General features: G+C 41.8%; 1 long non-coding RNA gene across 7 annotated transcripts in view; it reads left to right on the top strand.

Annotated features, from left to right (window-relative positions):
* The window catches only part of LOC105377123 (uncharacterized), a 40,740-nt gene that overhangs the window by 11,718 nt on the left and 15,065 nt on the right, over positions 1-13,957 (top strand). For 5 of the 7 annotated variants that reach the window (XR_001740731.2, XR_940909.3, XR_940913.3 and 2 more), the window contains 2 exons: positions 11,037-11,167; positions 11,855-11,972. This is a non-coding gene — a long non-coding RNA (uncharacterized LOC105377123). The remainder of the gene's footprint in view (positions 1-11,036; positions 11,168-11,854; positions 11,973-13,957) is intronic. The other 2 variants (XR_007095943.1, XR_007095945.1) reach the window with 1 other exon arrangement.

Here is a 13,957-nt window from a genome sequence, read left to right as displayed (position 1 = left end):
CAAACATTTTCTCCAGAGGTAGGTCTGCATTGGCTGACACTGCCATTTGCTTCTATCTGAAGATAATTTCTAGTCAATATTGGGACCAATTTGCATTCCACCTGTGGTTTAAGAAAAATCTGAGTTAATAGACATCTTATTTCCAAAGTATCCCAGTGATGTGTAGTGGTCCTTGTGGACTGGCCCCCTGGGCTGCTGGTCCATTTCCTAACCTGGCTCTGACCCAGTTAAGACCAAGCCCCTCTCCTCCAGAGCATCCTGTTCTGGCCACAGGGCGGACATTCTTACCTATACCAGGCAGAACCTTTCTTACCTGTACAGGGCAGAGCCATTCGTTGCTCCTCACCATTCTGAAGACTTGTACTCTATCTGGGTGCCCTAGCTACCAACATGAAGTAGCGGTGATCACAGCTCCTTGAACAAGACCTATGGCTCTGACAACAAACAGCCCCATGAAAGGAGCTGCTTTTGCTTTTTGTATTTTTAACTTTTCCCTTCACTATACCTCAAAGCCCTCTAGGAACATAGAGAATCCTCTGCCAGAATGACATGTTCTTCTGTCTTTTATGGCTCTTAGATTCTTTTTTTTAAATTTTATTATTATAATACTTTAAGTTTTAGGGTACATGTGCATAACGTGCAGGTTTGTTACGTATGTATACATGTGCCATGTTGGTGTGCTGCACCCATTAGCTCGTCATTTAGCGTTAGGTATATCTCCTAATGCTATCCCTCCCACCTGCCCCCACCCCACTAACAGTCCCTGGTGTGTGATGTTCCCCTTCCTGTGTCCATGTGTTCTCATTGTTCAATTCCCACCTATAAGCGAGAACATGCGGTGTTTGGTTTCTTGTCCTTGCAATAGTTTGCTGAGAATGATGGTTTCCAGTTTCATCCATGTCCCTAAAAAGGACATGAATTCATCATTTTTTATGGCTGCATAGTATTCCATGGTGTATATGTGCCACATTTTCTTAATCCAGTCTGTCGTTGTTGGACATTTAGGTTGGTTCCAAGTCTTTGCTATTGTGAATAGTGCCACTATAAACATAAGTGTGCATGTGTCTTTATAGCAGCATGATTGATAATCCTTTGGGTATATACCCAGTAATGGGATGGCTGGGTCAAATGGTATTTCTAGTTCTAGATCCCTGAGGAATCGCCACACTGTCTTCCACAATGGTTGAACTAGTTTACAGTCCCACCAACAGTGTAAAAGTGTTCCTATTTCTCCACATCCTCTCCAGCACCTGTTGTTTCCTGACTTCTTAATGATCGCCATTCTAACTGGTGTGAGATAGTATCTCATTGTGGTTTAGATTTGCATTTCTCTGATGGCCAGTGATGATGAGCATTTTTTCGTGTGTTTTTTGGCTGCATAAATGTCTTCTTTTGAGAAGTGTCTGTTCATATCCTTTGCCCGTTTTTTGATGGGGTTGTTTGTTTTTTTCTTGTAAATGTGTTTGAGTTCATTGTAGATTCTGGATATTAGCCCTTTGTGAGATGAGTAGGTTGCAAAAATTTTCTCCCATTCTGTAGGTTGCCTGTTCACTCTGATGGTAGTTTCTTTTGCTGTGCAGAAGCTCTTTAGTTTAATTAGATCCCATTTGTCAATTTTGGCTTTTGTTGCCATTGCTTTTGGTGTTTTAGACATGAAGTCCTTGCCCATACCTATGTCCTGAATGGTATTGCCTAGGTTTTCTTCTAGGGTTTTTATGGTTTTAGATCTAACATTTAAGTCTTTAATCCATCTTGAATTAATTTTTGTATAAGGTGTAAGGAAGGGATCCAGTTTCAGCTTTCTACATATGGCTAGCCAGTTTTCCCAGCACCATTTATTAAATAGGGAATCCTTTCCCCATTGCTTGTTTTTGTCAGGTTTGTCAAAGATCAGATAGTTGTAGATATGCGGCATTGTTTCTGAGGGCTCTGTTCTGTTCCATTGGTCTATATCTCTGTTTTGGTACCAGTACCATGCTGTTTTGGTTACTGTAGCCTTGTAGTATAGTTTGAAGTCAGGTAGCGTGATGCCTCCAGCTGCGCTCTTTTGGCTTAGGATTGACTTGGCGATGCGGGCTCGTTTTTGGTTCCATATGAACTTTAAAGTAGTTTTTTCCAATTCTTGAAGAAATTCATTGGTAGCTTGCTGGGTCTGGCATTGAATCTATAAATTACCTTGGGCAGTATGGCCATTTTCACGATATTGATTCTTCCTACCTATGAGCATGGAATGTTCTTCCATTTTTTTGTATCCTCTTTTATTTTGTTGAGCAGTGGTTTGTAGTTCTCCTTGAATAGGTCCTTCACATCCCTTGCAAGTTGGATTCCTAGGTATTTTATTCTCTTTGAAGCAATTGTGAATGGGAGTTCACTCATGATTTGGCTCTCTGTTTGTCTGTTATTGGTGTATAAGAATGCTTGTGATTTTTGTACGTTGATTTTGTATCCTGAGACTTTGCTGAAGTTGCTTATCAGCTTGAGGAGATTTTGGCTGAGATGATGGGGTTTTCTAGATATACAATCATGTCATCTGTAAACACGGACAATTTGACTTCCTCTTTTCCTAATTGAATACCCTTTATTTCCTTCTCCTGCCTGATTGCCCTGGCCAGAACTTCCAACACTATGTTGAATTGGAGTGGTGAGAGGGGGCATCCCTGTCTTGTGCCCGTTTTCAAAGGGAATGCTTCCAGTTTTTGCCCATTCAGTATGATATTGGCTGTGGGTTTGTCATAGATAGCTCTTATTATTTTGAGATACGTCCCATCAATACCTAATTTACTGAGAGTTTTTAGCATGAAGGGTTGTTGAATTTTGTCAAAGGCCTTTTCGGCATCTATTGAGATAATCATGTGGTTTTTGTCTTTGGTTCTGTTTATATGTTGGATTACATTTATTGATTTGCGTATGTTGAACCAGCCTTGCATCCCAGGGATGAAGCCAACTTGATCATGGTGGATAAGCTTTTTGATGTGCTGCTGGATTCAGTTTGCCAGTATTTTATTGAGGATTTTTGCATCGATATTCATCAAGGATATTGGTCTAAAATTCTCTTTTTTTGTTGTGTCTCTGCCAGGCTTTGGTATCGGGATGATGCTGGCCTCATAAAATGAGTTAGAGAGGATTCCCTCTTTTTCTACTGATTGGAATAGTTTCAGAAGGAATGGTACCAGCTCCTCTTTGTACCTCTGGTAGAATTCAGCTGTGAATCCATCTGGTCCTGGACTTTTTTTGGTTAGTAAGCTGTTGATTACTGCCTCAATTTCAGAGCCTGTTATTGGGCTACTCAGAGATACAACTTCTTCCTGATTTAGTCTTGGGAGGATGTATATGTCGAGGAATTTATCCATTTCTTCTAGATTTTCTAGTTTATTTGCGTAGAGGTGTTTATAGTATTCTCTGATGGTAGTTTATATTTCTGTGGGATCACTGGTGATATCCCCTTTATCATCTTTTATTGTGTCTATTTGATTCTTCTCTCTTTTCTTCTTTATTAGTCTTGCTAGCAGTCTATCAATTTTGTTGATCTTTTCAAAAAACCAGCTCCTGGACTCATTAATTTTTAAAGAGTTTTTTATGTCTCTATTTCCTTCAGTTCTGCTCTGATCTTAGTTATTTCTTGCCTTCTGCTAGCTTTTGAATGTGTTTGCTCTTGCTTTTCTAGTTCTTTTAATTATGATGTTAGGGTGTCCATTTTAGATCTTTCCTGCTTTCTCTTGTGGACATTTAGAGCTAGAAATTTCCCTCTACACACTGCTTTGAATGTGTCTCAGAGATTCTGGTATGTTGTGTCTTTGTTCTCATTGGTTTCAAAGAACATCTTTATTTCTGCCTTCATTTCATTATGTACCCAGTAGTCATTCAGGAGCAGGTTGTTCGGTTTCCATGTAGTTGAGCAGTTTTGAGTGAGTTTCTTAATCCTGAGTTCTAGTTTGATTGCACTGTGGTCTAGAGACAGTTTGTTATAATTTCTGTTCTTTTACATTTGCTGAGGAGTGCTTTACTTCCAACTATGTGGTCAATTTTGGAGTAGGTGTGGTGTGGTGCTGAAAAGAATGCATATTCTGTTGATTTGGGGTGGAAAGTTCTGTAGATGTCCATTAGGTCTGCTTGGTGCAGAGCTGAGTTCACTTCCTGGGCATCCTTGTTAACTTTCTGTGTCGTTGATCTGTCTAATGTTGACAGTGGGTTGTTAAAGTCTCCCATTACTATTGTGTGGGAGTCTAAGTCTCTTTGTAGGTCACTCAGGACTTGCTTTATGAATCTGGGTGCTCCTGTATTGGGTGCATATATATTTCGGATAGTTAGTTCTTCTTGTTGAATTGATCCCTTTACCATTATGTAATGGCCTTCTTTGTCTCTTTTGATCTTTGTTGGTTTAAAGTCTGTTTTATCAGAGACTAGGATTGTAACCCCTTCCTTTTTTTGTTTTCTGTTTCCTTGGTAGATCTTCCTCCATCCCTTTATTTTGCGCCTATGTGTGTCTCTGCATGTGAGATGGGTTTCCTGAATACAGCACACTGATGGGTCTTGACTCTTTATCCAGTCTGCCAGCCTGTGTCTTTTAGTTGGAGCATTTAGCCCATTTTTATTTAAAGTTAATATTTTTATGTGTGAATTTGATCCTGTCATTATGATGTTAGCTGGTTATTTTGCTTGTTAGTTGATGCAGTTTCTTCCTAGCTTTGATGGTCTTTACAATTTGGCGTGTTTTTGCAGTGGCTGGTACCAGTTGTTCCTTTCCATGTTTAGTGCTTCCTTCAGGAGCTCTTTTAGGGCAGGCCTGGTGGTGACAAAATCTCTCAGCATTTGCTTGTCTGTAAAGTATTTTATTTCTCTTTCACTTATGAAGCTTAGTTTGGCTGGATATGAAATTCTGGGTTGAAAATTCTGTTCTTTAAGAATGTTGAATATTGGTCCCCACTTTCTTCTGGCTTGTAGAGTTCCTGCCAAGAGATCAGCTGTTAGTCTGATGGGCTAACCTTTGTGGGTAACCCGACCTTTCTCTCTGGCTGCCCTTAACATTTTTTCCTTCATTTCAACTTTGGTCAATCTGACAATTGTGTGTCTTGGAGTTGCTCTTCTCGAGGAGTATCTTTGTGGCGTTCTCTGTATTTCCTGAATTTGAATGTTGGCCTGCCTTGCTAGATTGGGGAAGTTCTCCTGGATAATATCCTGCAGAGTGTTTTCCAACTTGGTTCCATTCTCCCCATCACTTTCAGGTACACCAATCAGACATAGATTTGGTCTTTTCACATGGTCCCATATTTCTTGGAGGCTTTGTTCATTTCTTTTTATTCTTTTTTCTCTAAACTTCTCGTCTCGCTTCATTTCATTCATTTTGTCTTCCATCACTGATACCCTTTCTTTCAGTTGATCGCATCGGCTACTGAGGCTTCTGCATTCATCACGTAGCTCTCATGCCTTGGTTTTCAGTTCCATCAGGTCCTTAAGGACTTCTCTGCATTGGTTATTCTAGTTATCCATTCATCTAATTTTTTTTCAAAGCTTTTAACTTCTTTGCCATTGGTTCGAATTTCCTCCTGTAGCTCGGAGTAGTTTGATCGTCTGAAGCCTTCTTCTCTCAACTTGTCAAAGTCATTCTCCGTCCAGCTTTGTTCCATTGTTGGTGAGGAGCTGCGTTCCTTTGGAGGAGGAGAGGTGCTCTGATTTTTAGAGTTTCCAGTTTTTCTGCTCTGTTTTTTTCCCATCTTTGTGGTTTTATCTACCTTTGGTCTTTGATGATGGTGACGTACAGATGGGTTTTTGGTGTGGATGTCCTTTCTGTTTCTTAGTTTTCCTTCTAACAGACAGGACCGTCAGCTGCAGGTCTGTTGGAGTTTGCTAGAAGTCCACTCCAGACCCTGTTTGCCTGGGTATCAGCAGTGGTGGCTGCAGAACAGCGGATATTGGTGATGATCAGCGGATCAGGCAGACGCTGCTGCCTGATTGTTCCTCTGGAAGTTTTGTCTCAGAGGAGTACCCGGCCGTGTGAGGTGTCAGTCCGCCCCTACTGGGGGGTGCCTCCCAGTTAGGCTACTCAGGGGTCAGGGACCCACTTGAGGAGGCAGTCTGCCCGTTCTCAGATCTCAAGCTGCGTGCTGGGAGAACCACTACTCTCTTCAAAGCTGTCAGAGAGGGATATTTAAGTCTGCAGAGGTTACTGCTGTCTTTTTGTTTGTCTGTGCCCTGCCCCCAGAGGTGGAGCCTACAGAGGCAGGCAGGCCTCCTTGAGCTGTGGTGGGCTCCACCCAGTTCGAGCTTCCAGCTTGCTTTGTTTACCTAATCAAACAACTAACTCGGCAATGGCGGGTGCCCCTCCCCCAGCCTCACTGCCGCCTTGCAGTTTGATCTCGGACTGCTGTGCTAGCAATGAGTGAGACTCCGTGGGCGTAGGACCCTCCGAGCCATGTAAGGGATATAATCTCCTGGTGTGTCATTTTTTAAGCCCGTTGGAAAAGCGCAATATTATGGTGGGAGTGACCCGATTTTCCATGTGCCGTCTGTCACCACTTTCTTCGACTAGGATAGGGAATTCCCTGACCCCATGTGCTTCCCGGGTGAGGCGATGCCTCACCCTGCTTCGGCTTGCACATGGTGCGCTGCACCCACTGTCCTGCACCTACTGTCTGGCACTCCCCAGTGAGATGAACCTGGTACCTCAGATGGAGATGCAGAAATCACCCATCTTCTGCGTTGCTCACGCTGGGAGCTGTAGACCGGAGCTGTTCCTATTCGGCCATCTTGGCTTCTCCCCCAGCTCTTTGTTTCTTAACATAGCTCATTCCCAACTCTGACATCAAGGGCCCTTGGGAATAGGGTCCAGATATGAATAAAGAGGCTCCCTCCATGATTCTGCCTTTGAGTGAAGAGTAAAGGGACCATTGGGTCTGACACCTTATCCATCACTCCTCTCACCTCTGTATATCCTCCCAGCTCCCCAAATAGTTGGGCATCCTTTTCCCAAATAGTCATTTTCCAGTATTAGCAACCCAGGTAACTATTAATACACTCCCATAAGGCAGTGTGTTACATGGTATCAACTAGGTGAACATCTGCACGACTCAAAGAATCTTCACCCAAGTGATAGCTAACCCACTATTAAAACAGCACTTCCCACCCAGTGGCTGAATGTGTTTTCACATTACATTATCACTTGTTAATATCAGAGACAAAGTGCAACCTCAGCTCTCTCCTTCCCCTCCTTCAGACTTTTTCTACTCAATCCACTTCACACCTGTCTCCAGGTACCAGCTCTGCCCTCCTCTTCTGTGCTGGGTATATTGGGATTCCCCTCCAGATCCCCTCCTCTGCCCCTAGTGGCTGACCATCTAGTCTAGGGAACCCTTGCTCTTTGGCACTTAGCTGGGTTCAGCTAATGCAGAACCCCCGCAGGAGATTGCAAGGAGGGAGAAGAAAAGATGGGTGCCCTTCCTTCCAAGGTCTCAGCCAGCCTGTGTGTCCCCAGACTAAGGTCTCTGTTCCTCTCAAGCTCCACAACTCCCTAAGGTTCTGCTAACAGCTTCCTTCCCTCGTCCCTTAGACCTGAAGATGGTGAGCCCTTGCAAGGTTACTTCGCTTGCCTTCATGTTCTCCTGCACATGCACCTCTCTAAATGTCCCCTTTCTAAATAAATCTTCCTCCATTTCTCCTAACTCAAGTGTGACAGCTGTTTCTATTGGGTCCCTGATTGACATACTTTCCTTTGGCATATGGATGCATTCTGGTTTTGCTGTATTTCTATTCCTGGTTGCTCTGTGAACCTCATGACTAAGATTTACCTCCCCTTCCAGACATCACTTGGATTCAAGGTATTTGCTGTTCTTAAAACTGAATTTCTCAATTTCACTCTCTTTGAACCAAACATCCATCTGTTCTTTTTCTTTCCTTCTCTCTTTTTCTTCTTCCCTCCTTCCCTCCCTACCTCCCTTCTTGCTGGGTAGTGATGAATGAGAGCACTAGCATTAGTCTGCTTGAGTTAAATTCTCAGCTTGTTATGCAACCTCACCCCCTTAAGCTTAAGTTTTCTCATCTGGCAAATGGGGACAATGATTGCATTGTCATGAAGATTAAACAAGATCTTAAGATGGTGTTTGGGCCTGGAATGGTGGCTCACACATGTAATCTCAGCACTTTGGCAGGCTGAGGAAGGCAGATCGCTTGAGGCCAAGAGTTTGAGACCAGCCTGGCCAACATGGCAAAACCCCATCTCTACTAAAAATACAAAAATTAGACTGGCATGGTGGTGGGGGCCTGTAATCCCAACTACTCTCGAGGCGGAGGCAGGAGAATCACTTGAACCTGGGAGGTGGAGGTTGCAGTGAGCCGAGATTGCACCACGGCACTCCAGCCTGGGCAACGGAGTGAGACGCTGTCTCAAAAAAAAAAAAAAAAAAAAAAAAAGAATTGTGTCTGCACAGTCTGAGGTTCCTCAACATTTGTGGAATGATTATTTCTGTGTGTCAGGCTACTCCCTAATCTCTGATATCATAATCTAAATTTCCAAAGATTCTCTTTCTTGTGCCTGTAGCTGGTGGATGGCTTCTTCCTGCAATACTTCTCATGGTCCTGAATTGACCTTTTGAACCCTGGATTTTAAAGGCATCCTTAATTTCCATGGGCCCAGTACAATCAGAGAGCAAATTCTTAACCTAATTCTTATACTTTAGTTTGCTTCCCCCGACCCCCACAGTTACTGGTAAAGAAAAAGAAAAGGAGCTTTAAATTGTCTTATTATTTTTAGTATCTCCTACGAAGTACTAGATATTCAGAATGCCATAGAGAAAAGCATGAAGAGGAATTTTTTTCTTATGGAGGTGATGGGCATAGCAGGAGGGAGAATTTGACACCAGTTCTAACAGGGGAAAGAAAAGTACAGAATGCTTTGCATGTGGAGACTATGGAAGTATTTGTGGTTTTACAGTGGAGTTGATCAAGATTATAGAGGAAGTATTTGAGACCAAAGGTTAGCTTGAAGATTTAGGAAGATCTGTGCCTATAAATTCTCCATTACATGTCTGTTCCATTAATCATTCAAAAAAGTGTTGATTATATGATTTTTCACTTCTAAACTCCTGAGAATTGTAGGAAAGGGATTAGGAAGGAGGTGTGTGTGTGTGTGTGTGTGTGTGTGTTTGTGTGTGCAACTCACAGAGAAAGAGTTAAGGATGCAGTTACATCCACAGCTGAACTAATTTTCTTGATGCTCCGTTTATTTCATATTTTTATTTTCTCAAGAGTCCCCCAAAATAGCAATTTATACACATTTGTCTTCCCACCTAATTTTGCTTTAACAATAGTTAGGAAAACACAACCAGATGCTTTTTTTTATAAAAAGGCTTCTACATGTTGACATCAACGTCAAAATTAGCCCTCAGTCTCCAGAAAGTCACTTTTCTCAGTTCAATTAATAATTAAGTTGGAAAACTCACCTCTTAAGTTCTGGGACAACATAGCGGGGGTCAGAACACTGACCTGTCCTCAGGGAAATCAACCAGCTAAGCTTCTTTTTCTTGCAGTTCCCTGGGCAACCATTCCCTAAACAAGGTTCTCCATTTAACAATTAAATTTTAATTACCTAAGCAAGAGATAAATACATTCTCTTTTTTAAAACTTAATGTATCACAGATGAAGCTAAAGTGCCCTTGGACCACTATTTCTAATCATGATCTTCTTTACTGAAGGTTACAAGTTTGGGGTGTATCTTTATAGAACTTTTATTTTGCATTTTCCTAAATCTATATACATGTCCACATAGCAAGTGAGTAGCATTACTGTGTGCGCACTTTTTCCCTTGGTTTCTTACAGTCCATGGTAGTTTTTCCTGGACCCCTGATCTTGAAGAACACCAAAGACCAAACTGCAAAACCCAATGGTTGATTGCATCTCATTCTTCCCTTGGGAGTAGGGAGTTGACTTAAGCCCATTGTCTTTGTATGATAAATAATTGATAATAACTTAATATGTGGTTGGGGATACTTTATTTTCATTTCTATTTTATAATTTGTTGGTCATTAGGAGAAAATTAGGGGAAAATCCCTCTAAACCATATTCATAGAATTTGTGTGCTGGAAAGATCTTAGAGAGTATCTATTTAACACATCAAAAAATGGGTTCCAGAGGGGAAATGGAGCATTTGCAAACGTAGCAGGCCTGGGTCCTCTCTATTTAAATAAGCAGCAACAGGAGAAGGAGGTCAGACTCTGCTCTATCGTCACCTTCAGATTGTAATGAAACATTATTTTCCATGTGCGTCCTTTCTCCTTACCCCATTCCACTCCTCCTAGCCAGTCTTTCCTAGCCACATTCTCCTTTGTAAATCTATCTCAGCTATTTAGTGACTTTCTGCTTCAGATTTCTTAGTAGCAAAAGCTGACTGCTAATGTTCACTGTTCTTATTCTGCAAAGGATTATACTGCGTGCTTTCCATACATTTTCCACTTTATCCTCACAGAGCACTATTTGAGGTTGGCACTCTTATTATCCTCACATGAGAAAACTGAGGCTCAGAGAGGATAGGAAACACGGCCAATGTCTCTAAGCAGGAAGTGACAACTCAAAGGTCGAACTCTACAGGCTTCTTGACTCTGCAGCTTGCACTCTCGATTCCACCCTATACTGCCACATGTTTAATTGTATTTTACAACAAACAAGAGGAAATATTCAGAGTAGAATGGGGAGAAGCAGGCTAGAGACTCCCAGTAGCTTTTAGCAATAAATGTGCAAATATCACAGAAGGCAAGACATTTCTTGTCCAGAGTCACAGGTCATGGGAGTCAATGGTACTATTGAGATAATTTTAAAAGACCTTTCTGAAATATCACCTTCAAGCAGTTGAGGGATTTTGGTTTGCTAACAAAACCATCTGGGACATTCTAGTAATTAGAACAATGACAGCCAGGACTCATGTGAGAGAAGGTTTCAAACTCTTCCTTATTATTGAATTTTGGAATTTGGAACCAACTCCTTCACCCCATTGTATTTTCTTTTGCCATCTTTCTTACTCACCAAACCTATCATTATTTCTTCCTTTCCAGGGACTTCTATGCCCTCTGCAGTTTGCCTCTTCCTCTGCTATTTTTTCATGTATGTGTATGTTTTTTGCCTGTATTTGCAATGCCAGCCATCATTTGCCATGTCTTCTAGCGGCAACCTGCATTTAGCCCAGGTAAGTAGGCAGCAAATCACATGATATCCACCCCTATAACTTCCCCAGCCATGGTAAATCAGTTATGGTGAGCACTTGATCTTTGAGATCATGGTGTAGTATTAGGACTGGCCGCCATCTTGGGTCAAGTGCAAGGTAAGAAAGTGGACAGACAAGCCTGAGTGAGCCAGTGAAGTGGCCTCTACTTTGGTTTTCTAGTTCTAGTGCCTATGTTTTCTATTTCTTGGATTCCACATCCTTTTTCTTTGTTTGTTTTCCTTACTTGAGTTAAATTGAGTGAGTTTCTGTTGCATGGATCCAGAGGGACTTTCACTAGATACTTCCTAACCAAGCAATTAAACTCTTTGAGGACATAGTCCCTGTGTGCCCCTCGATGTGTAATATACTGCCTGGTACATTGTAGGTATTCAATAAATATTTCTTGTTAATGCATATTTTATGGAGTGAGAATTATCTTGATCTGGGAATTTTGATTATAGTTTGTTTTTGTGACAGAGGCTATATACCAATAATAATAATCATTCATTTGTTTATGCAAAGGCATTTATTCTGGATAAAATTGAGAGATAAAATAAGGCCCAGTTTCTTACGTTAAGTTCCCTGTCTAGCAGGGGAGATAGTAATGTACAACAGATAAATTACCACTTGATTGACAAGTGTAACCCAAACAAAGTGTTCTCTCCCTAGATCTGCTGTGATTATTCCTTTTCACAAACCACAATGACTCTGGAAAACCTGGCTGTAAACACCAGCACTGCCACCAGCTAAGGATCTGTGATCAGGAGTGCCATCTCACGGTAACAGGGTAAGTGTCCCTTCCCCCATTTAATTCTAACTGGAATTCCTTCCATTCTGTATTACTGTTGTTCACTTCAAACTAATCACCAACATGTCTCATTAATTCTGGGCTGTTGGTCGTGTCTGAAGTTCGGTAGTCGATATTTGCATGTGCAGGATTTTTAATAAAATGCTGGTATATCTTTCAGTCACCTTTTCCAGACTTCACAATGAGTTGGACTACTTTCAGAGTCAAAAGATTTTTCCTTCCTTTTGTTCCCCCTTATAGGGTGAACCAGGTGACATCCTTGATGCCATCCCTTCTATACCCCAATTCAAATACTCATCCCCAGTGGGGAAGATTTGGTACAAGCTTCTATCACTGATGAATGCTTTCACTTAATTATTATGAATGACTGAATGATGGATTCATATATATAATATATTTTTTGAGTATTAACCATATGGTATTCATCAGGCTATGTCCTGGGGACAGTGGAAAATAAAGTAGATCCAGTCAGTACCTGCCATCCTGGAGCTTGGAGTCCAGTGGGGGACAATGGATGTTCCACAAACAGTTCACACAGAACAATAAGACTGCAAATGTGATACATGCTGTGAAGAAAAATTGCCAAGTGATATAAGTGCACGTAACAGAAGGGTTGATGGATGTGGAGTGTCTGAAAAGTTATCATAAAGTCATATTGGAGCTCAGCCCTTTGCAGGGGTGAACCAGGTGAAGAAAAGAGGGGAGAATGTTTGGGTTCAGGGAAGAACATTTCCAAAGGCCCCAAGCAGAGAGGAATAGCTAGAATAACTCAGGAATAACACCTTGAAGCTTTGGGAAATGAGGAGAATAAACTACTCATCTAATTGCTGCCTTTCAGAAAATACATGCTCTTCTGTTTTAACCAAAATACCTGGCTGGTGGGTGAGAAACCCATGATCAAAACAAGTGCCCCAGTTGTCCCTGATTTGGAAACTGTTTTATTGACATCAAGATGTTTAAAAATATGCATGGCTTTTTTTTTTTTTTTTTTTTGAGATGGAGTCTCACTCTATTGCCAGGCTGGAGTGCAGTGGCGTGATCTCGGCTCACTCCCAGGTTCAAGGGATTCTCCTGCCTCAGCCTCCCAAGTAGCTGGGACTACAGGCATGCGCCATCACGCCCAGCTAATTTTTGTATTTTTAGTAAAGACGGAGTTTCACCATGTTGGCCAGATGGTCTCGATCTATTGACCTCATGATCCGCCGACCTCGGCCTCCCAAAGTGCTGGGATTACAGGCATGAGCCACTGCGCCCAGCTATGCGTGGCAATTCTAATATCATCCCTTCTTCCTTCCCTGCCATCTTCCTCTTTCCCAGTCATCAGAACTCTAGACAACCCGGGGATCCCAGAGCATCTTTGTAGGAGAAATAATAGAGCCACTGAGGTGTGGAGTTTCCTGTTTTACCTTTATGAACTTTTGGCTTCCCGTCTTGGGGGAGACAATAACAACAAAAAACACCTGAAGGGCAAGATTTGAGGGGAAACAAGCAGATTTGGCAATCAAGTCCAAAATCCACCACTGAAAGCCTCTGGCTGCTCTTTCTGTTCCCTTTGGTTTGTGCTTTGACTTCTTAGCAGTCATGGTTGTTGTCATCCTAGTAGTAGCACTAGCAATTAATATTTACTGGTCATTACCTTGTGGCCAGGCATTATGATCAGAACTGCCTGTGTACCATCTCATTTAATGCTGACAAAATTATATACGGTGGGCCCTGTTAGGGTGATGTGAAATTGTCAATATTCAACAACTTTTTTGATCTATAAAAATGTCCATTTTATAAGACTGAAGCTAATATTATTATTTCCCAGGGACCCAGGGGTTTACAAAAATTGTCCATCTGTCCATGTTTTTATAATTGGGGAGTGGCTGAGCTGAGCTTCATGCCCAGGTGTGTATAGTACCACAGTGGCTGTGTTCTTTTGCATGATGCATGAAAGGAAGAGAAAGAGGAAGAAAATTACA

This window comes from Homo sapiens, chromosome 3 (assembly GCF_000001405.40).
Source record: "Homo sapiens chromosome 3, GRCh38.p14 Primary Assembly".
Classification (NCBI taxonomy): Eukaryota; Metazoa; Chordata; class Mammalia; order Primates; family Hominidae; genus Homo; species Homo sapiens.
Note: the sequence above shows the minus strand (reverse complement) of the source record. Positions and strands in the feature narration are given on the sequence as shown.